Source organism: Homo sapiens, chromosome 20 (assembly GCF_000001405.40).
Source record: "Homo sapiens chromosome 20, GRCh38.p14 Primary Assembly".
In the NCBI taxonomy this organism is placed as follows: Eukaryota; Metazoa; Chordata; class Mammalia; order Primates; family Hominidae; genus Homo; species Homo sapiens.
The window spans coordinates 35,922,096-35,946,275 of record NC_000020.11 but is presented as its reverse complement, the minus strand read 5'-3'; the positions used below and the strand labels follow the sequence as shown (position 1 = coordinate 35,946,275).

Here is a 24,180-nt window from a genome sequence, read left to right as displayed (position 1 = left end):
TTTGGTCTCAAACTCCTGACCTCAGGTGATCCACCCACCTCGGCCTCCCAAACTGCTAGGATTACAGGCATGAGCCACTGGGCCTGGCCTTTTTTTTTCTTTTGAGACAGAGTTTCGCTCTTGTTGCCTGGGCTGGAGTACAATGGCAATGATCTCGACTCACTGCAACCTCCGCCTCCCGGGTACAGGCGATTCTCCTGCCTCAGCCTCCTGAGGAGATGGTATTACAGGCACACACCACCACGCCTGGCTAATTTTTGTTATTTTTAGTAGAGATGGGGTTTCATCATGTTGGCCAGGCTGGCCTCGAACTCCTGACCTCAGGTGATCCACCTGCCTTGGCCACTTTGAAAGTGCTAGGATTACAGGCATGAACCACCATGCAGGACCCCTTTAAATATTTAATGTAAGATTTCAGGTATTAATTAACATTATCATCATTGGTTCAATATCTAGAAAGCTGTCTTGCTTGTGAGAACAAGTATTTCTCTACAGAAAGATGTTTGTTCTTCCCTAAGCTACCCCCTAAAGCTCTGGCATTTGGGGAGAGACCATCTGGGAACCCTGCACCTTTGACAAGAACCACCCCCTGCAGGTAGCCCCTGTGCTATCCCAGCCTGCCTGTAGCCTTTCTAGTCCATGCACCAACCTGTACTGAGCACCTTCTGGACCCTGGAGTGCAGCAAAAGAAAGGCCCACCCAGTACCTCTTCATCAAGCAGCCTGCAACCTACTGCGCAATCCTCTCCTGTCCTCAGATGCAGCCCTACCTTCCTCTCCACCTTTCTAAATCCTCTGTTTCTTGTGAGCTATTCTTTAGGGAAGCCTTCCCCAACCCTATACCCTGAATCTGGTCCTTGTGTTACAGGTGCTATGATATCACATGTTCTCCTTTGAGCATTTACTATGGTTTGTCATTACAGGTAATGGGATGATTTGTTTAATATATGTCTCTCCCACTAGATCAAGTTCCACGAGGGCAAAGGCTGAGTCTGCCTTGCTTGCCACTATATCCCTAACACTCACCTGTGTCTGAAATGTGGCAAGCCTGCAACAAACACAGCGAGAGAAGGAATGTGTGGTCCAGCAAAGCGCCCTACCCATTGCTCTGGGCCCTATGTAGTTTATCCTCCTCCATCATATTTCTTGTTGGTATTTGGGGGTTCCAAGAAGGAGGAACCCTCTCTCTTCCTAATTCCAGCAAGTACAAGGACTTGGAAATAAGAAAAATAAGACCACCTCCTCAGACTTAAGCTTGAAAACCATTAGTAAAAGATCAGTCATGTGAGAGGAACTAGTGGCCTGCTGAGCAAGAAAACTGGATAGTGACCAGTTTCAAAACACCAGTAAGTCTTTAAAAAAAACTAGAAGGAGACAGGGGACTGTTCAGCAAACAGGCAGAAGAATAAATGGAGAGGCCGGACGTGCACGCCTGTAATCCCAACACCTTGGGAGGTCAAGGGAGGTGGATCACCTGAGGTCAGAAATTCAAGACAAGCCTGGCCAACATGGTGAAACCCCATCTCTATTAAAAATACAAAATCAGCCAGGTGTGGTGGCAGGCATCTGCCTGCTACTTGGGAGGCTGAGGAAGGAAGAGTCGCTTAAACCTGGGAGGCAGAGGCTTCAGTAAGCCGAGATCATGCCACTGTACTCCAGCCTGGGCGAGAAAGAGCAAGACTCCGTCTTAAAAAAATAAAATAAAATAAAAATAAATAAATGGACAAAAGGCAGTCAGGACTGGATGGGTCACTCCAACAGCAAAGAGAGTCAGTCAATCTTTTGCAAGATGATCCTACAGTTGCTGAGAGGCCCCTCTTAAGGTCACCCTAACTACCTTGGATCTAGTTCCAGGCTCACCAAAGACATCCCGATACTACGGTGGCCCAGGAGGCATGCACAGTGTGAAAGCGCACCAACGCTCAGACTGGAAGAGTCTAAGCCACTCAGTAGTGCCTGAGCTTGGTTAACAGGAGTGTGTGGAGTTCCTGAGATGGAAGCTGTCTGTCTAGGTCTGTTAGGCTGAAGAACAAAGCCAGGACTGTGGGAAGTCAACAGCATCTCCTCTGGACCCCAGCATCCAGCAGGCCACCCTCTCCATACCATGTGCTGCACCATCCCAAGTGTCTCTTTTAAAGATGCAGAACAGCTTCCAACTAGCATAGTGGTTGCTAGCAAGACAGAAGGTTACAGAGGAAAAAATTCTGTTCAAATACACTAAGATCATGTGTATAGAGACCACTGCTCACCAAGGCAACATTTTTTATTTAAGAAAATAATCTCTCTAATGCCAAAAGACTTTTTTACTTTTCATGGTCATTAAATATCCTTTGTCTTTTAGTTTTAAAGTACTGTTCAGGCTGGGTGCAGTGGCTCACACCTGTAATCCCAGCACTTTGGGAGCCCGAGGCAGGCAGATCATGAGGTCAGGAGATCGAGACCAGCCTGGCCAACATAGTGAAACCCCGTCTCTATTAAAAATACAAAAATTAGCCAGGCATGGCGGTGTGCACCTATAATCCCAGCTACTCGGGAGGCTGAAGCAGGAGAATTGCTTGAAGCCAGGAGGTGGAGGTTGTGGTGAGCCGAGATCGTGCCACTGCACTCCAGCCTGGGCAACAGACCGAGACTCCGTCTCAAAAATAAATAAATAAATAAATAAATAAAGTACTATTCATATAACTACATAAATAATTAAATAATGGCCAATTGTAAAACAATGGCATATATATATATATATTTCATATAATAGCTTACTAGGCTTTTTTTTTTTTTTTTTTAAAGAAATGGGGTCTTGCTCTGTCACCCAGGCTGGAGTACAGTGACACGATCATAGCTCACTGTAACCTTGAACTCCTTGGCCTCCCAAAGCACTGGGATTACAAGTGTGAGCCACCACGCCAGGTCAGCTTTTAAATTTTTTTAAATTTTTTATTTTCAGACTGAGTCTCACTCTGTTGCCCAGTCTGGAGTGCAGTGATATGATCTCAGCTCACTGCAACCTCCGCCTCCTAGATTCTGCTGCTTCAGCCTCCCAAGTAGCTAGGATTATACGTGTGCACCACCACACCCAGCTAAGCAGGCCGGCTTTTTAAAAAAGGAATGTTACATCCAAATTCCTATTTTAAAACTTGGTTATGAAAGCTTAGTTTAGGGCTGGGTACGGTGGCTCACGTCTATAATCCCAGCACTTTGGGAGGCCAAGGTGGGCGGATCATGAGGTCAGGAGATCGAGACCATCCTGGCTAACACAGTGAAACCCTGTCTCTACTAAAAATATAAAAAATTAGCCGGGCCTGGTGGCGGGCACCTGTAGTCCCAGCTACGCGGGAGGCTGAGGCAGGAGAATGGCGTGAACCCGGGAGGCGGAGCTTGCAGTGAGCTGAGATGGCACCACTGCACTCCAGCCCGGGCAACAGAGCGAGACTCCATCTCAAAAAAAAAAGAAAGAAAGAAAGCTTAGTTTATCTTGGTGTTTAAATAAAGAGTTGATTCCATAAAAAGGGATTTTGATTAATCTTAAATACTATGCAAAAGTCTGTTTACCTAAATAAAATCTTTAAGCTTTATCATTTATTTTAATGCTTTCTTGTTATCTCTCTCAGGGCCTAGAGTCTTAGAAATGTACAGAATATGTGGCTCTGAATTAGCAAGACACACAAGAGGTCATCTGTGAGGCCAAAGAAGGGGGTTCAGGCCTACCATCCTTGCCACACTGCCCATTCGGCAGGGCTAGAGAGGCCAAACCTGGCTGAAGAGAGGATTAAGGAAGTAAGATGTGAGTAGACTTTAACTTCTCCCTCAGGGAAGGTCCCTGTGGCAACAACCGAACATTCACCCTGTTTCCATGGTGCTAATCCTCTTTTCAGGGACTACAGAGCCACTCCTACTGCCATTCTCTCAAGAGCTACACTTTTTTGTCTAACATTATATCCTCCTTCAGCTCTCTAATAATATGTTTTTCACAGACAGTGGCATCAGTTACAATCCCTTTTTTTTAGTTTATTTTTTTAGAGACAGGGTCTGTGTTACACAGGCTGGAGTACCGTGACATAATCACAGCTCACTGCAGCCTCCAACTCCTGGGCTCAAGCAGTCCTCCCGCCTCAGCCTCCCAAGTAGCTGGGACTACACCCCTACACTTGGCTAGTTTTTTATTTTTTTGTAGAGACTGTGATGCCCAGGCTGGCCTCAAGCAATCCTCCCACCTTGACCTCCCAAAGTACTGGGATTATAGGTGTGAGCCACCACACCCAGCCTAGGTCTTGCTGTCTCTCTCACTGTCCTCCAACAGGGCAACTCTTTTTCCAGTCTAGCCAGATCATCCACCCTGAGTCCTCTCCAGTAGGAAACACCATCACTCTCCTTAAAGCTCAACTTCAGTCTCAGGAGTTTTAGGAAGCCCTCCTATTAGCACTCTCCTCCTCTGCATTGACATCAGCCACATGTGTCCCGGCCACACCTCATGGCATCACTTGTATAACAGATGGCATTTTCTCCTGAGTTATTTCATGTATGTTTTATATTCCCAGTTACAGTAAAAAATCATAGCCAGACTGTACCCAGAATCCTCAAACAACATTTCTTTTTTAACTGGGCTCCATTTTCAACATGAAAACAAATAATTAGGGAATATTTCAACAACCAAAACCGTCAACTTCCTGGAGAGAGACTGAACTTGATCATGTTCATCATCACCGGTTTGATCCTCCAGGCCTGTCCGTAACCACCAATATCTGGAAGGAATACTCAGGGCTATACAAATGACTCAGGCAAATTCTCAAATCTCTACTGGCTTACGAGGAGAAAGCTTCATTTTAGATTTTATCAAAGATTGGAATAAGAGGTTTTTCAGATTAAATCCTCAGATATCCTAAAACTCAAGTCAAAATTTTAATTTCTCACAGAACTTGTTTGTAAAGATTGGCTTAGATCACATATTTCCTGCAAGCAGGACTGCCAGTTGCCCTCTCTCTGCATACTCAACTTTACAGAAGGGATCAGACAAGTGAGGCAGGACCCAACATCATGCAGATCTTGCACCTGATAAATACTAAAAGTAAGGCTCATCCATCCTGAGGGGAGAATGGAGGTGGGGAGAGGCTGAAAAGAAGAGAAGCAAAGAGTACAGCGGTCCCTGTAAACTCAGACTGGGGGGTTCAGAAAGCAGCTCGTCTGGGGGTGCTCGACTGCATGCCAATGCACAGGGGGCCAATGAAGGAGCCCTACCATCCAACTCCTTCTCAATGGAGTCCATCCTGTGCGTAACTTCATCCTGAAGAGATTCCACATGGGTCAGCAGGTTAAACTGCCACTGGTGCTGGGAGCTCAGCAGCCCCTCTCCACCTCTGTCCAGCAGCTTCCGAGCAGGGGCTTCTTCTGGTAGGGCCTTTTTGGAGACATATTCCTTCACCTGGGGATGCAATGGCATGGAAATTACTGAATGGAGATAGCCCCTGGCCCATTTTTCAACCAGCCAGCATTTCCAGCCACCTGAAATACTAGCTGCAGTTTCAATACTCCAAATCCCTACCTCCCTTTCCTATTTCCCACTTAGGAACTGGGCAGGAGCTTGCCCACTGTACCAATTCCAACTACCTCAGGGTAGCACTCTAGCTCAGGGGACCCACAGCTGCTTCCTACTGACTGGGCCAATGTCCTAGCCTAAAGTAAGCCTCACAGAATGGCTTCCAGAGCCCTGAGAGGTGATTAGAGCAGGGCTAGTGCAGACAAGGGTTAGTACACGGGAGTCACACCAACGCGTTTCAAGTCTCAGCTCCATCTCCTGCGAATGTGCGAGTCTGGATGGACTACTTCATGTCTCTGAGCCTCTGCTTTCTCGGTGGGAGGATGGGGGTACTAAAACCTATTTGGAAGGTTCATGAGGATGAAATAGGGTAAGGCACATAAAAGCAAGGCCAGCTTACAGTCAGCTTACCATCAATGGAAAAGACTGTTAGCCCTGGTTGCTTTGCTGAGGCCCAGTATTTCCTGGCTTTGTTTTATGTGCCAGATACCTCTAGGAAACCTGCCTGATCCACAGGACCACAAACCTTTTCTAGGATTTGGTAACTCAACCTTTCATTCATCCATTTGAAATGAAATAGATTCTAGCCAATATTTATTTAGTACTTACTATGTGCAAAACTGAGGGATTTTACTGAGGGATTTTCACAAATATGTTCCACAGTAACTGAGGGGGCTTCACTGGCCCCATTCTACAGGCGAGAAAACAGGTCTGATCAGGAAAGTGAAGTAACCCGCTCAGAATCACACAGTAAGGGGCTGAGCTCAGAATTGAAACTGCGTCTGTCTCAAAAGACTGTGTTCTTACCACCTTGCCCAACACCGTTTAGACATAGTCAAGGGCACAAGGATGCATGAGATACAATCCCCTCCCTTGAGGGGCTTGTAATCTAGGATCCCCTTGGCACCATGCAGCAATGTATTTAACACTGGTGACACCAACCTGCAGGAGAAAGTCTGGGAAGTAAGGATGATGAGACAGAGAAACTCTCAAATCATACAAAGCCTCACTGACAACTGAGGACAGGGCACAATGAGCCTAGTGAGCAGTTAGAGATGAAAACACCGGCAACGAGGTGATACAAGGGGGTTCTAGAAGAGAATGACTTGAATAACAAAAAACCAAAAGTGGCTCTTGGGAAAACTGATGAAACCAGCAATATTTTGACAAAGTGTACCATTTTTACCACAGGGCTTCAAAGTTAAAAGTCAAAATAAAGCTATCATACAACTGGATTGAAAAAATTCTGCCTAACAAAACATTTGACTCATTGTTTGCTCATGCTAAGAATTAACATCTAGGTGCAATTATAATGCAAACTGCCTTAAAGAAAAGATGAGTTTTGCTAATCCATATCTCCTTGCTACTTCCCACCTCTCCCTCCCTCTGCACCCGCGCCCCCCACCCCACGTGCCACACTTGACTATGCCATTTTGTGGGTGCTTCCTGGAACCAAGGATCTTTGGCTTAAGTGGGCTCTCCTGACTTTGCACCCATTTTGGCAAACCAAAACATATCTATGGTAAGCAAATTTAAATACAGTTTTATTAATAAATATCTTCCATAGAGCATTCAAACTAGGAGGATAACTTGCAAGCATTCACGCAATGAATGAAGAACAAGTACAAGGCAGCCACATACCTTTGGGGAGCCGGGTTTGGGGTCACTGTCCCCCTTGCTCCTGTCTTGGTCTAGAGGCCAGCCCAGGCGCGGGGAAAGGGAATCATCGCCGTTCTCATGGAGGGGGTTGACCGCATCGTCGAGGGCAGAGCCCCTCGTCTCCACCACCAGCTTCTGCTCCACGGCAGGGTAATAGGCGCGGGGCTTCTGGTAGCAATGCTCACTGGTGATATAGGATTCCTCCACAGAACGCGGCAGGGGCAGGGCCAGGGGCCTGGGCTTCTCCACTGCCCCGTTCAAAGTTCTATAGCTTGGAGCTTCCTCCTTGCTCCTGGTGTCAGTGACAGGGATGTTTCTGAAATGAGATCTCCCCTCCCCTGAGTGCTGTTTCCAAGGCTGGCACCACAGCGGCAGATCAGGATGCTCCCGGCTTCTGTTGAGAGGACAAAGAGGACATGGGCTTTGGAGTAACTGGCACCATTGCAGGGGTTCTCAATTCCTAAATACTCTCCCAGTAGGGACAGCAGCTCCACCTGGGCCATCTGACCACACACTACCATTTGCTAAACAAGAGCGAATGTGAATCCGTGGTCTCCTAGGAGACCACTCCTTAGTGAGCTCCCACTGTGGTCACACACAGTGAGTGGGACTGGACTCTCAGTCAGAAGACCTGACTGGATTTCAACTCTGGGACAACTCACTCAACCAGCATCATTCCTACTTCCTCCTCTGTGAAACTGGGCTAATTATCTGTCTGATCTGTCTGCTATTGTAAACCAAAAATAAAATTCTAAGCCCCTCAACCAACCTGAATGGACCCCTCCTCTTGGCCAAGAGCATTCCAACATTAAACTGAAACACTAGTTCAGGCCATGATGGGAAGGGAGTCAGACAAGCCACATTATACCCTTCTCCCTTTGGAATTCATGCACAACTGACCAGCATTAACATTAAAACGGGCCGGGGGCGGTGGCTCACACCTGTAATCCCAGCACTTTGGGAGGCCGAGGCAGGAGGATCACGAGGTCAGGAGATCGAGACCATCCTGGCTAACACGGTGAAACCCCGCCTCTACTAAAATACAAAAAAAATTAGCTGGACGTGGTGGCGGGTGCCTGTTGTCCCAGCTACTTGGGAGGCTGAGGCAGGAGAATGCCGTGAACCCAGGAGGCAGAGCTTGCAGTGAGCCAAGATTGCGCCACTGCACTCCAGCCTGGGCGACAGCAAGACTCCGTCTCAAAAAACAAAACAAAACAAAACAACAACAACAACAAAACATTAAAATAGAGACCCTCAGACTGACAAAACAGACTGTAGCAATTAAGATACCAACATAACAGATAGCAGGTACTGAAAGAAATCAAAGTATTTTACCCCAAAATATATTTCTTTGACATATTTTGAACTAGCCCTGGAAGCTGTCTCTTGTGGGGAAATCTACATTCTATAGAGAACCTCCTTTCCTTTCCAGGTCCTTTCCTGATCCAGGAGAAAATTAAGGAAGAGTCTGGCACCTTTTTAGGTCTGATAAGAAACATTTACAATCTATTCTCTCTGAAGCCTGCTACCTGGAGGCTTCATCTACATGGTAAGAACCTTGGTCTCCACAACCCCTTATTTTAACCCAGACACTCCTTTCTTTCTTTCTTTTTTTTTTTTTTGAGACGGAGTTTCGCTCTTGTTGCCCAGGCTGGAGTGCAATGGTGCGATCTCGGCTCACCACAACCTCCACCTCCCAGGTTCAAGCGATTCTCCCTCCTCAGCCTCCCAAGTGGCTGGGATTACAGGCATGCGTCACCATGCCCAGCTAATTTTGTATTTTTAGTAGAGATGGAGTTTCTACATGTTGGTCAGGCTGGTCTCGAACTCCCAACCTCAGGTGATCCGCCCACCTCGACCTCCCAAAGTGCTGGGAGCCCAAAGGCGTGAGCCACCAAGCCTGGCGACTGGCCTTTAGATAATAACTTGACTCTTTAGATAATAACTTAACTCTTTCAACCAATTGCCAATCAGAAAATCTTTGAATCTACCTATGACCTGGAAGCCCACCCACCCCTCAAGTTGGTCTGCCTTTCTGGACCCAGCCAATGTACTTCTTATATGTATTGATGTCTTATGTCTCCCTAAAATGTGTGAGACCAAGCTGTATGTAGCCTGACCACCTTGGGCTCATGTTCTCAGGACTTCCTGAGGGTGTCTCACAAGTCAAGGTCCTCATATTTGGCTCAGAATAAATATCTTCAAGTATTTTACAGAATTTGACTCTTTTTGCCAACACCATCAAACACTGAGTTTCATAACAATTAAGTGAATTAATGGTGGTAAAGTGCTCTTCAAATGTGACTTACTAAAAATAACCTTAACTTATTAATAAACAGTCACAATGATCCCAGCATGTAATGGCATTTGATTACAAAAATGCAATGATTACCCAGGGGTTAAAAAAATAAAATCAACTGTCCTTTATGTATAGGTCATTAATGATAAAGCTTCTAAAAATTATTCTGAAAATTTATTCGCACCATTCCAAAGAAAAAAGTTTGTTATTAAAGAAAAGAACAGGGATTCTTATCCTTTTTAGGGCCAGACTCCTGTGAGCATCTACTGAAAGCTGTGCCTCCATGTATGTGCACATAAAATGCTGTGGATGCCTTCCTGTACCTTCCTGTGAAAGTGGAAGTGGTCATATACATGAAGGCATAGAGCGATGTTACAGAACTAAAATTCTGCTCCCAAGGGCCTGCAACTATCCCGTCTCAGCTCTCCCACTCCAGCAATCCCATACCACTGCTAGCCACTAAGGAAGAGGGGAAACAATTGGCATCAATTGTTTGGGATACCTCCAGACAGGGTATCAGCCTGTCCCAGGAGCCTACCCAGGACCCAGACACACCACTAAAACTGCTCAGGGGAAATGGGAGTCATTGTTAACTTTCAGGTCCACTACCTGTTAACATGGAACACACGAACCATAGTACAGACCTGCTCTTTATTAAAAAAACCATTAAAGTCTCTGCTTCCTCCCACCTACAATTTTCATCCTTCCAACTGCGATCTGAAGGTGCTACTTCTCGCAAGCATGACCCTGCCATTTCCTTGTAAGCCCTGTCAGTCATGAAGAAGGTAAGCACAGCCATCCAGGCCATGTTTTTTATGATGACAGATGCTCTGAAGTTACTCCCAGTTTTATTGTTTGTCTTCGAAAATAAATTCACCAGGTCACTGGGGAACAATATTTCTGAGAATAAAGACCCAGAGCCCATGACAACAGAGACCATCCATGAATACAGAGACATACTGGGGCCACCTTCCCCTTTCCCAGGATCTTTTCTCCATTTGTAAGAAGTACCAAGATCTTCCTATGCCCTCTTCTGAATTGCTAGAAGACAGATTTAATTCTACTACAAACAAAGTAATTTCTCTAAAGATGGAGGATCTAGATGAGGATTCAGAAGGGACAAGGGGCTAGGCACAGTGGCTCATGCCTGTAATCCCAGCACTTTAGGAGGCCGAGGCAGACAAAGCACTTGAGCCCAGGAGTTCGAGACCACCCTGGGCAACATGGCAAAACCCAGTCTCTACTAAAAATATGAAAACTAGCCAGGTGCGGTGGTACATGCCTGCAATCCCAGCTACTGGGGAGGCTGAGGCATAAGAATCGCTTGAACTCGGGAGGCAGAAGTTGTAGTGAGCCGCGATCATACCACTGCACTCCAGCCTGGGTGACAGAGTGAGACCCTTGTCTCAAAAACATAAAAAAAGAAAGGGCAAGGCTTCAGAATATGGGCCAGGGCCAGGAACACTGGCATTTCTGTAAGAAAAAAGAGAACAGCATCTGACAGAACCCTCAAATGAAAAGAAATGCAGGCGCCTATAGTCCCAGCTACTCAGGAGGCTGAGGTGGGAGGATAACAATTATTATTTTTAAAAAGTTCAGCCCTATTAAGACTGTCGAGAAGAAAATAATAAAAATAAAAGAAATATGAGCCAGACACAGTGGCTTACACCTATAACCCCAGCACTTTGGGAGGGCAAGGCAGGTAGATCACTTGACCAGCCTGGGCAACACAGAAAGACTCCATCTCTTAAAAAAAAAAAATTTTTTTTTAAAGAAATATAGCTAAGTTTACAATCAGGAGCAGCCCCTGAGGTTTCCCAGGCACTCACGTGGACCACCATCCACCTACTTCATTTAATTGCTGCCATCTCATTAAAAACAAATTCATTTGGTTTACATGGGGTTACGTTTTCCTGTTTTATGAAATGTGAGGAAATAGCTAGTCTCTGACATCCTATCCAGGGCCGTCATTTGGTTCAGTTCACCTCAACAGATTCTGCCACAGCAACTGCTAATTGCCCCAGCATCCAACCTCTCCTCCTTTTATCCCCACCCCCACCCCTACTTCTAAGTATAAGCAGGGCCTGTGGCCACCTGCCCAGCCTGCCCTGCCATTAGGCCTGTCCATGAAACTATTTGCCCTCCCTCTTCTTTCTCTCTTTTCCCCCTCCTGGGGACTGGGGTAGAGCTGAAATGCAGGTGAAACTGCTTCAACCATGCAAATGGGGGGTATCCCAAGAGAATGCCAGAGCAATAAGACAAAAGGAACCTAAGACCATGCAGATAAGGGGAACCCTAAGAGAATGCTGGAGCCGTAAGACAGAAGGAAACAAAGTTCCCAACCCAACGGATGGAATCCTGGAGAAAGGTCTCCTACCTAGCCTAGATCCCTGCCTAGCCTTGAACCATTCATTTATATGAGAAAGAAACTTCTGTTTTGTTTGAGCCTCTATGTGGGGGGTCCTTGTTATAGCACCTCAGCTTTTACCCAAACCAACGCAGACCCAATGTTCCCTCCTCCACCACCTTTGTCACGCAGATCTTGAAGCCAGGCCTCTGTGTGCCAGAGAGCACAAGAGGAAGCAGATTCCCATCTCACCATCTCAGGGTCCTGATACTCCACTCTGCCTGACACCAGGCCTCCTCTAGGCCTGATCAGCACAAAGGAAATCCTATCCAGGAGCAGCCTATCAAGTCTTAACTCACTCATCGCACTAGTCTGCCACTGTTTACAACTTAAATAAAAGCAGTCCCTGACACAGACTATACTAAAACCAAAAGAAAGCTCACAAGGTCATGCAGTATCACATAGAGAGACAGTTCGAAAAGTACCTGACAGAGCCAGGATTTGGATTCTAGTCCAGGCTCCACCCATGGAAACCATGGAAGAGGCCTACCCCACTCAAGGCCCTGTTGCTGTATTTGGTAAAGTAGGGTAGGTTATAACAGCCAAGAGACCGACCGGGCACAGTGGCCCACGCCTGTTATCACAGCACTTTGGGAGGCCGAGATGGGCAGATCAGTTGAGGCCAGGAGCTCGAGACCAGCCTGGCCAACATGGTGAAACCCCATCTCTACTAAAAATACAAAAATTAGGCCAGGCGCAGTGGCTCATGCCTGTAATCTCAGCACTTTGGGAGGCTGAGGCAGGTGGATCGCAAGGTCAGTAGATCGAGACCATCCTGGCTAACACGGTGAAACACTGTATCTACTAAAAATACAAAAAAATTAGCCGGGCGTGGTGGCAGGCGCCTGTAGTCCCAGCTACTCGGGAGGCTGAGGCAGGAGAATGGCGTGAACCCAGGAGGCAGAGCTTGCAGTAAGCCAAGATCATGCCACTGGACTCCAGCCTGGGTGACAGAGCGAGACTCGGTCTCAAAAAAAAAAAAAAATTATCCAGGTGTGGTGGCATGTGCCTGTAATCCTAGCAACTCAGGAGTTTAAGGCAGGAGAATCGCTTGAACCCAGGAGGTGGAGGTAGCAGTGAGCCAAGATCACGCCACTGCACTCCAGCCTGGGTGACAGAGCGAGGCTCTGTCTCAGAAAAAAAAAAAAAAGAATGAGCTGAGTTGCTTGAGCCCAGGAGCTTGAGGCTGCAGTGCTTGATGATCGCACCTGTGAGTAGCCACTGCACTTCAGCCTGGGAAATAAAGCAAGACTCCATCTCTTGTTAAAAAAAAAAAAAAGGAATATTTAGCATGAAAGGGATAAACAAAATGTGGCATACACATAAAACAAGTTATTACTCAGCCTTAAAAAGGGAGGAAATTCTTACATATGCTATAACACGGATGAACTTTGAGGACACTATGCTAAGTGAAATAAGCCAGTCACAAAAAGACAAACACTATATGACTCCACTTACATGAGGTCTCTAGAGAAGTCAAATTCAGAGAGGCAGAAAGTAGAATACTGGTTGTCAGGGGCTTTGGGGAAAGGGAAATGGAGAGCTGTTGGTAAAGGGTATAGAACTTCAGTTTCACAAGGGTTTTAGAGACTGGTTGTAAAACAACATGAATGACAACTGTGCAGAGCTGTACACTTAAAAATGGTTAAGATGGGGCCGGGTGCAGTGGCTCACACCTGTAATCCCAGAAATTTCGGAGGCCGAGGTGGGTGGATCACCTGAGGTCAGGAGTTTAAGGCCAGCCTGGCCAACATGGTGAAACCCTGTCTCTACTAAAAATACAAAAATTAGCCGGGTGTGGTGGCGTGCGCCTGTATTCCCAGCTACTCAGGAGGCTGAGGCAGGAGAATCACTTGAATCTGGGAGGCAGAAGTTGCAGTGAGCCGAGATCACACCACTGCACTCCAGCCTGGGCGACAGAGCGAGACTCTGTCTCAAAAAAAAAAAAAAAAAAAATGGTTAAGATGGTAAATTTTATATTATGTATATCTTACAGCAATTAAAAACAAATAACTCAGCCAGGTACAGTGGCTCGTGCCTGTAATCCCAGCACTTTGGGAGCCCGAGGTGGGTGGATCACTTGAGGTCAGGAGTTCAAGACCAGCCTGGCCAACATGGTAAAACCCTATATCTACAGAAAACACAAAAAATTAGCCAGGCATGGTGGCATGCGCCTGTAGTCCCAACTACTTGGGAGGCTGAAGTGGGAGAATCGCTTGAACCCAGGAGGTGGAGGCTGCAGTGAGCCATGATCTCACCACTGCACTCCAGCCTGGGTGACAGAGTGAGACTCCATCTCAAAAAAAAAAAAAAACACTCAGAACTGTATGCCAAAACAAAAAACAAACCAAAATACACACACCATGTATTGATTCTGGTGGTGGCTTCACGGCTGCATACAATGTCAAAATTCAATGAACTCTTTTTTTTTTTGAGACGGAGTTTCGCTCTTATTGCCCAGGCTGGAGTGCAATGGCACGATCTCAGCTCACCACAACCTCCGCCTCCCGGGTTCAAGCGATGCTCCCGCCTCAGCCTCCCAAGTAGCTGAGATTACAGGCGCACACCAGCACGCCTAGCTAATTTTTGTAATTTCAGTAGAGACAGGGTTTCACCATGTTGGTCAGGCTGGTCTCGAACTCCTTACCTCATGATCCGCCTACCTCGGCCTCCCAAAGTGCTGGGATTACAGGCATGAGCCACCATGCCCGGCCTCAATGAACTCTTAAAGTGGATGAACCTAATTATATGTAAGATATTACTCAATAAAGTTTTTTTTTTTTTAAAGAATGTTTATCCTGAAACTGATAATTTTTAGTAAAGGTCTCAAACTCAGTTTTATGATTTGATTGCTTTGGTAGCTTTCCAATTTCTCAGATTTACTCAGCCCCCAGACCATGCCAAACAGACTGCTCCCAGCACTGCAGGTGCCACACTTACTGCAAGATGCTCATCTTGAGCTGCAGGCCATGCAGAACCTCAATCACTCTCTGCACATCACCAAGAAGCTGGTGGGTGGCCACGATCTTCTTGGCATTCTGATGGGAGTAGTTCTCTTCTAGAAATGCCAGGCCATGCATATGTCCCCTGCTCAGCCACTCCTTGTCATACCAGTACTTGAAGCCAGGCCTCTGACCTACAGCAGTGACAACAAGAGGGTTAAAACAAGGCCTGAAGGAAACCCAGGCCATTTCATCACTCTCACACAATTATCATACCAACTACTGGAAGAACAGATTAGTATACTCATTTTGTTCATTTATTCATCCAGTGTACATTTTCTTGGCACCTACCATATGCTGGGCTCTCTATTAGGTAGTGGGGATAAGGTAGTGAATAAGGCATGTACTTCCTCATTTCCTGGAACTGGCCAGAGGTGAGCTGGGCACCTAGATTATCTCCAAATTTATATCATAATATTCTCTCCCCTACTTAAAACCTTCCACTGCCTCCTACTGCTCAAAGGAGAATACCCAAAGCCCCAACTCTCTAACTCTGGCTTACTGAGGCCCACAGGACCCAGTTCCTTCCTGTCTTCCCCTCCATACCTTTACACTGGCCTCATTTCAGTTTCTGAAACACATCAAACTCTTTCCAGCCTCAAGACCTTCACTTGCGCATCCCTTCTGTCTGCAGCACTATTCCCTAAGCCTTTGCAGGGTTGGCTCCTTACCACCTCCTCAGAAAGGCTTTTATTTTTTTCCTGCTTTGTTGGCAGGGTCTCACTCTGTTGCCCAGGCTACAGTGCAGTGGCATGATCATGGCTCACTGCAGCCTCAGCCTCCCTGGGCTCAGGTGATCCTCCCACCTCAGCCTCCCGAGTATCTGGGACTACAGGTGTGCACCACCATGCCTGGCTAATTTTTCTTTCTTTCTTTCATTTTTTTTTGATGGGGTTTTGCCATGTTGCCCAGGAGTGGGGCCTTCTGCTACTTCCCAAAGTTGAGAGCATCATCAGTGCCTCAAGTCGTCTTATCAATTTTCCCGTCACGGCATTCATCACTACCTTACACAGTCTTGTTTACTTAACTTGTTTTAACTTCTGTTTCTGGCTCCCAACCCAATTAAGAGCCGAAAGAGTAGGAACTATCTTGTTCATGGTTGTATCCCCAGTGCCTGGCAAAAGGCATCTTGAATGGACTTATCAAATGAATGGAAAGATGCCTCAAGTCCCCCTGCAAATGTACCTTCTACCACCTAACTCAACAGATGATCAGGCCCCTTCCCTTCTCTGTACCTGTTATCCATTCATTAGAACAACATAGGAACTGGATGGCTTCAGCCATCCTATTTGTTACAGGGCTCCTTAGGAAGGACTGAAAACAAAAGCACATGTGACTTATCAACATGACCTGCTCCAAAGTCCCAGGGAAAAGCTTTCTACCAGACTGTTGTTCGACTGTCAATATCTATAAAAACCTTGAAACACCCAGGTGATTCCTATTAAGGTCTTTGAGCTACTTCTGGCTTTACTAATACACATGGTGGGGATACACCTTGATTCTGTTAAAACTATTTTTAAGTAGCCTTTAAAAAACGAATCTGTTAAACTTTTGGTCCAGCCCTCTGCAGAGTCAGTCTATAAAGGTAGACCCTGTGGCAGACATGCTGTGCTCAGTTCAAGGAAGAGTCTATTCACAGTATTGGCGATTAAAGTCGTAGAAGTTCAGTAAGTGCACAGGATTTGATGAAGATGGTGTGTGTGACTTCTAAAGAAGGAAAAGTAGAGAGAAAGACACAGTAGGGAAAAAAAGATTTTTAAAAGGTATGCTAAGGAGCCTTCAGGAATATATGGGGGAACCCCAGAGGCAGCTGCTGCAGGCAGTGCCTAGAGCAGCAGGATTCAGAGCTGCACTACCTGTTTTACAAGGCAAAGGTATGAGACAACTGGTTCTCATCGCCTGTCTGGCATTAGCTGGTGGCGTGATCTTGGGCCAGTCATGTCCCTTCTGGACTTGTGTTTGTTCACCTGTCAAATCTTCTGACTATTCTTTCCTTGGGATAAAGGGACAAGTGGAGGCAGATGCTTCTAGTACAAGGAGACAGTGTCACAACAGAGGCCTTCAGGCCCAGAGGGGACCTGCATGCTGTTAAATGAACTGGTGGCCAGTCCCTCCCTAGACAACCAACAAAATCAAGAGATCTGGCTCTGCAAACCAGTTCTAATTCCAATTTGCTTTATGAGGAAAGTCAACTGTATCCTCAAGGATCAATTTCTTCCTCATAAGCAAAACTGGGAGTAGGAGAACCAGGCCCACCTTATCGGACAGAAAGGAGTAACGGAAGCAGAGGCTCTCAAGCACTGTCTAGCTCTAAAGGAATCAGGGGACTAGAGCTGAGGGAGAACCTTACAAGTGGTAATGGGAGACAATGTCACCATCCCATGGAAACCAAGACAATGAACTGCATATTTACAATCCACCCCTTCTAGAAAGGAGCAATCAAGAGCCACAGGTGACCCCTATAGCCATGGAACTAACTGATCCTGCTAAGGAATTAAGTCACTGCTCAGGGTGGCAACAGGCTCTACCCAACCATGCCTTCCTCCTTCCCCTCAAGGGCATTTCTCCCTTCAGGATGGCAGTGATGTGATGAAGGGCAGATGTTGCCACAGGGGGCAAAGGCAAGTTTCTAACCCTCCAATAGCCCCCAAAAGCCAAAGACAGAGCCCACACGCCCATCCTCATGAGTCCTCAAGAAAAGGAAAAGGTGCCACTTCGGCAGCACATACACTAAAACAGGAACAATACAGAGAAGATTAGCATGGCCCCTACACAAGGATGACACTCAAACTTGTGAAGTTTCTACATTTTTCTACACAGCTTCAATCAGGCAGGATGAAAGTTCTGGAGATCTGCTGTACGACATTGTGCTTATAGTTATTAACAACAATACTGTATTGTTGAGGGTAGATCTCATGCTTTTTTTTTTTTTTTTTTTTTTTTGAGACGAAGTTTCGCTCTTGTTGCCCTGGCTGGAGTGCACTGGCATGATCTCGGCTCACTGCAACCTCCGCCACCTGGGTTCAAGTGATTCTCCTGCCTCAGCCTCCCAAGTAGCTGGGGTTACAGGCGCCTGTCACCATGCCCAGCTAATTTTTGTATTTTTAGTAGAGATGGAGTTTCACCACATTGGCCAGGCTGGTCTCGAACTCCTGATCTCAGTTGATTCACCCGCCTTGGCCTCCCAAAGTGCTGGGATTACAGGCGTGAGCCACTGCGCCCGGCCTCATGCATTTTTTTTAAACCATAATTAAAGAAAAGGAAAAGTTCTAGCTCAAGGCCAGGCCTTCCACTAGGTGGGCCCCTTCACACGTGTGCTCTTATTGCTACGTTCAGGATAGCTGGCCACAAGGCAGGATAGCAACAGAGGCGAGGAGGAGCTGGAGTCTAGCCGATGCTGAAGAAATGAGTCTCAAGACCGCAGACATTTAGAATGTGTCACAGCCAGCTGTGCCAAGGAAAAGGCTACATACTGTTATATCCCTGACTCCAGAAATCTCTACCTGGAGGGTCTTGGCAAACATAACAGGTGTATTTCTCGGGCACATTTTCTTCCAGTAATCCCATGCAGACCCCATGCTGCCAGCACTGGCACTCTTCACACTGTTAGAATTAAAGAAGCAACAAAAATTAAACTCAGAAGGTGTTCTCCATCCAAAAGTAAGACCCACCTGCTGAGGGGAGGGGCATGGGAGGATAGAAGGAGAGGGGAGGAAGGAGCACTCCCTCCTGACTAACGTGGAACTGAGCTGCTGCCACACATCTGGAACTGCACTGTCCAGTATGGTAGCCACTAGCCACATGTGGCTCTACATTGAAATTAACAAGGTAAGCTAAAAATTCAGTTCCTCAGTCCCACGAGTGACATCTTAAAGCTGAGTTTGAATTATGGCTCAGACACTCATTAGCTGTGTGACTTTGCACAGGTTAGTTCTCCTGGGCTTTATTTTCCCCATCTGCAAAATGGGATACACAATTCCTACCCTCCTCCTGGGGCTGTTTGTGAAGATTCAATGGGTCATATGTAAAAGCTCCTATTACAGAGCCCAGCACATAGCTTTATGTAATAAGCTACTATTAATACTATTAACCACTAATGAGCAAACCAATTCACTAAGACCCCTGCTGGAGTAATCATGGGTTAGTACTTTGCATTTATTCTCTCTAAACCTTACCAAAGATCACATAGCTATTGAAAGGCAAAGGTGGATAAGAACATAACCTGACTCGTTGCTAAACCAGTTCTTTCAACCCAAGGCTCCACTTCCTTCCCTGAGTATTGAGGGGACAGGGGGAGAGGGCCAGAAGGCAGAGAGGGAAAGGAGGGAGTTGACAATGAGGGTTGCACTGGGAGACATGTGGACAGCCTGAGGATAGTAGGTCTGAGAGCTAAGGGTCCAGAGGAGGGAATGAAAAGGAAAGGCGAACTCCCGAGGAGATACTAGGGCACTTCAAGCAATTCCAAACCAGGACCCTAAACCTTTAACTACCCAACCAAACAAATTAGCCCTAGAAGGTGGACAGTGAGCTTCCTGACATGACCTTGATGGTGGCCCACCAGCCTGGCCACAAGGGACTAGAAATCCAGAGCTCAGATGGTCCTCAACCACTGGGAGTCACATAGGTCCTGGCATCAAGAGGGCTTCCCTGAGCAGATATAAGGCCTCTAGGAAGTTAATCACATCAGAATCAATGTGGGCAGAGCGGGAAGACAGGCTTTAGATATCTGTTTTAGATTCTTCAATTTACAGATGAGGAAACTAAGGCTCAGAGAAGATATGTAAAGTGACAAAAAGGCGGTCAGTAGCAGAAAACAGACTAACAATTAAAAATGAAAGTCTGTCGGCCGGGCGCGGTGGCTCACGCTTGTAATCCCAGCACTTTGGGAGGCCGAGGCGGGCGGATCACGAGGTCAGGAGATCGAGACCATCCTGGCTAACACAGTGAAACCCCGTCTCTACTAAAAATACAAAAAAAATTAGCCGGGCGTGGTGGCGGGCGCCTGTAGTCCCAGCTACTCGGGAGGCTGAGGCAGGAGAATGGCGTGAACCTGGGAGGCGGAGCTTGCAGTGAGCCGAGATTGCGCCACTGCACTCCCACCTGGGCCACAGAGCGAGACTCCGTCTCAAAAAAAAAAAAAAAAAAAAAAAAATGAAAGTCTGTCTCACCAATGACTTCATGTTTTGAAAACCAGGATTCACCAAAAATGAATCAAATACAGTTCAGTTTCAAAATGGTAACTTTTTTTTTTTTTTTTTTTTGAGATGGAGTCTCACTCTGTCACCCAGGCTGGAGTGCAGTGGGACAATCTCGGCTCACTGCAACCTCTGCCTCCCAGGTTCAAGCCATTCTCCTGCCTCAGCCTCCTGAGTAGCTGGGACTATAGGCACATGCCACCATGCCCAGCTAATTTTTTGTATTTTTAGTAGAGATGGGGTTTTACCGTGTTAGCCAGAATGGTCTCGATCTCATAACCTCATGATCCGCCTGCCTCGGCCTCCCAAAGTGCTGGGATTATAGGCATGAGCCACCGCGCCTGGCCAATGATAACTTTTTCCATGTGCGTGTAGCTAAAACACATTATTCCTTTAAATTAAGAAATGAATGAGAATAATAAACAAACTAAAAGATAAAATACCTAAGAATAACCATAAGCATGTATTGCCTCTCTAAAAAAAAAAAAAATGTAAATACTATTTGAAGAACACACACAGAGACTTAAGTCAATGTACAGTGCACCCTGTTCCTGGACAGCAAGAGTTAACATATGGATATCAATTATCCTTGGGTTAATTTATAAAAAGAATGTAGTCCCGGCCAAGCACAGTGGCTCATGCCTGTAATCCCAGCCAGCACTTTGGGAGGCCGAGGCGGGGGGATCACTTAAGGTCAGAAGTTCAAGATCAGCCTGGCCAACATGTTTGAAACCCCATCTCCACTAAAAATACAAAAATTAGGGAGGCATGGTGGCAGGCGCCTGTAATCTCAGCTACTTGGGAGGCTGAAGCAGGTTCAAAATTGCTTGAACCTAGGAGGCGGAGGTTGCAGTGAGCCAAGATCACGCTACTACACTCCAGCCTGGGCAACAGAGCGAGATTCCATATCAGAAAAAAAAAAAAAAAGTCTCAATAAAATAATAAATTAATAGCTTCAGAACTAGAAAAAATTCTAAAATTAACAGCTGGGAAATGTGTGAAAAAGAAAGAGCAATATGGAGACACTAGCCATACCAGATATTTTAAAAATATTATAAAGGTACAATAATTAAAATAGAATTGTACGAGCAAATATACAGACAGATGAATCGCTGAAAGAGAGAACCAGAAAAGGATTCAAATGCATTTAGAAATGAAGTAAATAAAGGTGGCATTTCAAACAGTGAGGTATGGTATTAGTACAATGGGGAGCCATAGTTCTCACTATATACCTGGCAAAATTTCAGGTGGATCAAATATTTATATAGCTTAAAAAAAAGAAAAATGGGCCAGGCGCAGTGGCTCTTGTCTATAATCCCCGCACTTTGGGAGGCCGAGGCGGGAGGATATCCTGAAGTCAGGAGTTGGTCACCTGAGGTCAGCCTGGCCAACATGGTGAGACCTCATCTCTACTAACAATACAAAAAATTAGCCAGGTGTGGTGGTACACACCTGTAGTCCCAGCTACTCAGGAGGCTGAGGCAGGAGGATCACTTGAACCCAGGAGAGGAAGGTTGCAGTGAACCAAGATCATGCCACTGCACTCCAGCCTGGGTGACAGAGCGAATCTCCGTCAAAAAAATAAAATAAAATAAAGTAAAATAAAATGTGATCCAACCATTATGCAGAAAATAAAATGGTTTTTAATTTACATATTGCTAAATGAAAAAAGATGTTAAAAATACTATACATGCGGCCAGGCACAGTGGTTTATGCCTGTAATTCCAGAACTTTGGGAGGCCGAGGTGGGCGGATCACCTGAGGTCGGGAATTCAAGACCAGCCTGACCAACATGGAGAAACCCTGCCTCTACTAAAAATACAAAATTAGCCAAGCGTGGTGGTGCATGCCTGTAATCCCAGCTACTCGGGAGGCTGAGGCAGGAGAATCACTTGAACCTGGGAGGTGGAGGTTGTAGTGAGCCGAGATCACACCATTGCACTACCCCAGCCTGGGCGACAAGAGCAAAACTCCATCGCAAAAAAAAAAAAAAAAGAAAAGAAAAGAAAAGAAAATACTATACATAAAATGCAAACATTTGCATTTAGACAAAGAGATGGTTGCAAAGCAATGTGAATGTACTTAACATCACTGACTTGCATACTTAAAAATGGTTATAATGGTAACTTTTAGGCAGGGCAGGGTGGCTCACACCTGTAATCCTAGCACTTTGGGAGGCTGAGGAGGAAGGGTCATTTGAGGCCAGGAGTTTGAGACCAGCCTGAAAAACATAGCAAGATTCCATCTCTACAAAAAAAAATTAAAGAAATTAGCAAGGTGTGATGTTGTGTGCATGTAGTCTCAGCTACTTAGAAGGCTGAGGTGGAACAATCACTTGAGCCCAGGAGCTGGAGGCTGCCATGAGCTGTGATTGTGCCTCTGTACTCCATCCTGGGTGACAAAGCAAGATCCTGTCTCAAAATAGGAAAATATAAAAATAAAAAGGGTAACTTTTAATGTTATGTGTATTTTACCAAAAAATTTTTAAAAGGAAACAATACATTTGCTATTGTTTGTTTAGCCATAGAATGTTTCTGGAAGGATATACAAGAAACTGATAAGGGCTGACTCTACGGAATGGGTAGTTGGGGATAAGGTGGGGATAAGGTATTTCTCTGTGTGCTTTCTGGACTTTGAATTATGTCAGTGCATTAGGTACCAACAAATAATATGAATTTTAAAATAACCAAAACTTTCAAATGGGCTTCTTTGTTTAAATTTTTATTTACTTAATTTTTATTTAATTTCTTGTAGAAACGGGGTCTCTCTATGTTGCCCAAGCTGGTTTTGAACTCCTGGACTCAAGTGATCCTTCCGCTTCAGCCTTCCAAAGTGCTAGGATTACGGGTGTGAGCCACAGTGCTAGGCCATTAAAATGGGCTTCTTTTTAAAACTGCTATAAAATCTTTACTGGAGTTGGACACTTAATACATATTAATACTTGTTGTTGTAGGGCAAAGGTCAGCAAACTACAGCCCATGTGCCAATGCCAGCTTGACTTGTTTTGTAAATAAAGTATTATGTGAACACAGCCATACGCATTTGTTTAGGGGTTTTTGTTTGTTTGTTTTTTGAGACAGGGTCTCACTCTATTGAACAGGTTGTAGTGCAGTGGTACAATCTCATCTCCCTGCAGCCTTGACTGCCCAGGCTTAAGTGATCCACCCACCTCAGCCTCCTGAGAAGCTGGGACTACAAGTGTGCACCATCACAATTAACTAATTTTTGTATTTTTTGTAGAGACAGGGTTTGCCACGTTGCCCAGGCTGGTCTTGAACTCCTGGCCTAAAGTGATCTGCCCACCTCAGCCTCCCAAAGTGCTAGTATTACAGATGTGAGCCACTGCAGCCAACCATACAGGTGAAAATTTGTTTTACATATTGCCTACAGCTGCTCAAAGAAGAATCCAGTAGGTGCAACAAGGCCATATGGCCCTCAAAACCTAAAAATTTATTATCTAGCCATTTAAGAAAAAGCTTAACAAAACATGCTCTACAGCGATTAAAATAATTTAAATATCAAATGTATTTCCTGTTCATTTTTATGTGGTAGCCAGATTTCTCAAATACCGTATTTATTAAGTAGGATTTTAACCTTCCAGTGATTTAAATTAGCACTGGTAAATAAGATAAAATAGTGATATACATGAACAATGTTGATACTACTCATATAATGACAATGATCCAAAAAGTTATTTCTCTATAGTAATACATGCACTTCTAGAAAACACACTCTAAATGTATTCTAGGGTTATTCAAAATATCAATTTAAGGTAAAGATTTAAGAAAAATTTATTCCTGTCTTCCTAATTAGATGGTGAATACATTTTAAAAGTTTAAACTGTATTTGTTCTAGCTAGCTCCCTCTAAACTTATGCCTTTTGATAAAGTTATTGAGTAGAAAAGGTACGTTGCTCACAGTGACAGGACAGTCAGAAACCGTCCCTCCTTAACACAAAGCCAGGTGGGCACTCTTGGTTCAGGTGGACAGCACAGAAAAGTCCTCTGGAACAAAAGCCAAGAAGCTCTGAAGTGAGCTTGAGACACAAGGTCTTGTGGAGCCTGGGAAGCAGGAGATCAAGTTGGCTCCTGA

At 45.5% G+C, this 24,180-nt stretch overlaps 1 protein-coding gene and 1 pseudogene across 11 annotated transcripts in view; one reads left to right on the top strand and one right to left on the bottom strand.

Moving 5' to 3' along the window:
* PHF20 (PHD finger protein 20) overlaps positions 1-24,180 on the bottom strand; it is a 178,356-nt gene that overhangs the window by 4,095 nt on the left and 150,081 nt on the right. For all 11 annotated transcript variants that reach the window (XM_047440180.1, NM_016436.5, XM_017027868.3 and 8 more), the window contains 4 exons: positions 18,397-18,496; positions 14,832-15,027; positions 7,168-7,579; positions 5,229-5,412 (listed from right to left, as the gene is read on the bottom strand). In XM_047440180.1, the coding sequence (XP_047296136.1) occupies positions 5,229-5,412; positions 7,168-7,579; positions 14,832-15,027; positions 18,397-18,496 (892 nt within the window). The remainder of the gene's footprint in view (positions 1-5,228; positions 5,413-7,167; positions 7,580-14,831; positions 15,028-18,396; positions 18,497-24,180) is intronic.
* On the top strand, positions 17,601-17,706 carry RNU6-937P (RNA, U6 small nuclear 937, pseudogene; annotated as a pseudogene).